At 37.3% G+C, this 3886-nt stretch overlaps 1 annotated feature.

Moving 5' to 3' along the window:
* Nucleotides 2918-3534: an enhancer, noted in NCBI's record as "OCT4-NANOG-H3K27ac hESC enhancer chr8:128055684-128056300 (GRCh37/hg19 assembly coordinates)". NCBI's record gives its function as "activates a minimal SCP1, AML or CMV promoter by ChIP-STARR-seq in naive and primed H9 embryonic stem cells {active_cell/tissue: H9 hESC(naive and primed)}" and the evidence as "EXISTENCE:reporter gene assay evidence [ECO:0000049][PMID:30033119]".

Genomic DNA, 3886 nt, shown 5'->3' on the forward strand with positions numbered 1-3886 from the left:
AAAATACCAAGAATAAATGGCATAATTGAGCAATTGGGCATTATCAATTCAAGATTACCAACAATCATTGGTTCCTCAACTTTGTTCCCTGACTTAACAATATTTCTGTAGTCACCTCCTTTCCTTTCCCATTTCAATATTCTCATGCCTTTAACATACTTCAAGGCCCAGCTCACTTTCTGTCTCCTTACCAAAGCAATGCCTAAAACCACGAGCCCCATCACCATTGATTATCATAATCAGTGCCTCCCTCCTGTTAATTCTAAAAACATTTGTCTATACTCTTGGAGCATGTAAGCATTCTCCCTTGACCAAGTTCTTATTTTCTTCCTAAGTTTGTAAGATCTTAAAACAGATGTTATTTAAAAATATATTTTACTTTCTTTATCCCTTAGACACTAGTCTTACTACACAGTAGGTCCTAAATATATATTTTCTGAATACATGCATGAATTAATGATAATGAAACATTGAAGCATTCTTCAGTGATACCACCATGACAGGTTGGAAACTCATTCATCTGGGCTTATGAAAGCCAGTATTTTTCTTCAACCAGATACTTTTCCCCAACAGGAGACTCAGAATATCAATTAGAAGAAAAACCTCCAGTCACTTGTAGTGACAAGCTTTCTTTTTCAAGTTTGCAAATTCCTGTTCTCAAAACAAAAAACAAAAAAGAGGTGTATGCAAGGTATTTGTATATATATATATATGTGTGTGTGTGTGTGTGTGTGTGTGTATGTGTACATATATATAGAGAGACTTATAAATCTTATTAAAACAAGCTCTTGAAGTTGAAAAATTTTATGTTTTGTCAACAAACTGTAATGGTAGTCATATTACCTAAATTATTTTCAGTCCCCACTTTTCTGGTATTCTAAGCTTTCCTGGCAGAACCAAAAGAAGGGTGGAAATAAAGTCAGTGGGCTGGGGATGTGGGGAAAGGAGAGGTTTAAGAAGGAGATGCTTCCAAGCTAAAAGCACAGAAAATGGAACATCGTTCCAGAAATGAGGCTCCATGCAGCTTTTGACAGTGGTTCAAAGCTGTCACGCTTCTTTAATTCCTATATGCGTCAGCAGAGAAAGGTTTCAGTATTCCCACCGAAACCAGAGATATTTTAGATTTCTGTGATCCACACCCTTGGAATCAAGGTATTAACATGTTCTGCTGGAGGCACTGAAAAGCTTAGCATCTCCCTTTCAAAAAGGAAGAGTTTCCTGTAAAACAAATGAAGTCAATCATAAGTGGAATGGGTCCAGGTTATTATGGGAGCTCACGTGGCTCAGGCAAGGCTGGGCTTAGAAAGAGTTTCTGCTTGTTTTTCACCTCACACCCTCCTTCCCTAATGAGTTCCTCATCATTGGCTTTGGGCGCTTCAGTGGCTGGGCAGATCATGTGGTGTGTTTCTAAGTGCTTCAGAGATTTAGCAAAACACTATGCCCTTGCCTAAGAGCCTCCACTCAGAGACAGGTGTATGACTCAGCTTTATCAAGTGCTCTGGGAAGCCAGTGATGATGGGTAATTGTTCTTTAATGCCAAGTTGAGGAGCTCTTGAAGCACTTAAATATTGTTAACCAATTAAGCTACATATAAACATTCGCCTTCCATGGCTAAAGGCCAAGTGGAAGCTAAGGTCATCAGAATAGAAGCAGATTCATTTGCTAAGATTCAGCTTCTGTCTATTGTCAAAGCTCATCATTTTTGTTTAATTTGCATAAGATTTGCTTTCATTAAAGTCACCAGGATACTCCAGTAAATGAGAAATCAAATGAATGTTCCTACAGGAACAATTCCTAACCAGGGCTTATACCCCTCTGGGGGGCCTTAACAAATCTGCTGTGCAGCTTTGGGGCATATGGCTCAAACTACTCTCATATCTGCTCCTAAAGAAGACTTGCTTCCCCGCCCCCATTTGACATAGTGAGCTCACTATTACCTTTAGAATTTCATAGTAGTAGTTTTCAAGTTTTAGAGGGAAGAAACAATTTGGCCAACCACTGACCTTAAAATGTGAATTTTAATTTTTGCTTCTTACAATGAGAACCATTTTAACTTGGTGTAAACCAGGTTCTCATCCGTAGCTGCCCACAGGGTTCATTTCTGATATTTAAAAAATCCCAGAATCGTCGTTCCTTACCTGAGGATTATACTTCATTAGGTTTGGAGTGAGTCTTTGAGATGTATCTATATCTAATTCAATATCTAATCATATATAATATAGATATCTATCTATAAGCATATAGATTAATGTGAATGAATTAATGCATCAATGTTTATTTGATCAATAATCAAAATAAAATACGTCTTATTTTTCTTTGTAGTATCTTCTGCCTCTGGCACAAACACTGGCATGCAGTAAAAATTCAATACACATCTGTTAAATTAACGAGTGACTTTATATCCTTCCTACAGGATATATTCTGAGGTTGCTTTTTCTTCTTTGGAGTCAGCTTTCTCTGGGTTCTGTCAGTATTCTTTTATGTATCTAGACATTCTTTCAGTTTGTTGAATTTGCCATGTTCCCTCCCACCACAAGGATGTTATACTTATCTCTCTTCTCACCCTTCTATTTACACTTTAAATTTCAGCTCAAAGACCACTTACCCTTAGGTGCCTTCATTGACATCTGCTGGGGAACCTATACCCCTCATGGACAACTTAAGTACATTCCTCATCATACCCTTTCTTGAGACCATTATTCTTTCACTCAAGATCCTCATAAGTTTGAAATTCTATAGTCAGAAATGTAAGTATTTGTTTAACATATCTCTTCATCTCCCCACCATACATAAAGCACCATAAGGACAGGTACAGGGTGTATGTGTGCACATTCCCACTTGCACCACCAGAAATTTGTAATGCTTACACACAGGAAGTGCTCAAGAATTATTTGCATCCAAGAACTATTTGGATAATGAGTAAATGAGTGAGAGAGTCCCTTTTATCAGCATAAAGGCTGACAAGTACAGTTATCTAGCAGGTGCAGGGATTAAATAGCAAAACTATACTTCTTGTCAGAAAGACTTAGAACCAAAAGAATGGAAATTGGAGTAAGGAAAAAAAAAAGGTATCATTTTTGTGGCATTAATAGCACCCATTCACACTGTTTTATGAACCATATACTAGTAATGGTAAAAAGTTTGGGTTTGTAATTCATGTTCTCTTTTCATCCCTTCACTTTCAACTTTTAACTAATTGAAATATCTTGAATGCCAAACTGGGGAAGCAACTCTTCCTAACACACTTAAGAGAGCAGGTTCTGGAGAAAAGCGGCTTGGGTTGGACTCCCAGCTTGAACTCTATTTAGCATGAGAATGGGGAAAGACTTTCATCTCTCTGTGCCTCAGATTCCTCATTTACCAACTGGGGATGAGTTAACAGAACCAGATCCCTGGGATTGTGATGATAATTAAATACACTAATGTAAATGAAGTGCCTAGCCCACCGTTTGGCATGCTACCTTTGCACTTTTTACTAGCACTCAACTAAATGTCAACAGAAGAAAGTGGGAAAGATCTAAAATAAACACCCTAACATCACAATTAAAAGAACTAGAGAAACAAGAGCAAACAAACTCAAAAGCTAGCAGAAGACAAGAAATAACTAAGATCAGAGCAGAACTGAAGGAGATAGAGATACGAAAACCCCCTCAGAAAATCAACGAATCCAGGAGCTGGCTATTTGAAAAGATTAAAAAAATAGATAGACCATTAGCCAGACTCATAAAGAAGAAAAGAGAGAAGAATCAATAGACACAATAAAAAATGATAAAGGGGATATCACCACTGATCCCACAGAAATACAAACTACCGTCTGAGAATACTATAAACACCTCTATGCAAATAAACAAGAAAATCTAGAAGAAATGAATAAATTCCTGGACAC

Source organism: Homo sapiens, chromosome 8, assembly GCF_000001405.40.
Source record: "Homo sapiens chromosome 8, GRCh38.p14 Primary Assembly".
NCBI classification, from domain to species: domain Eukaryota; kingdom Metazoa; phylum Chordata; class Mammalia; order Primates; family Hominidae; genus Homo; species Homo sapiens.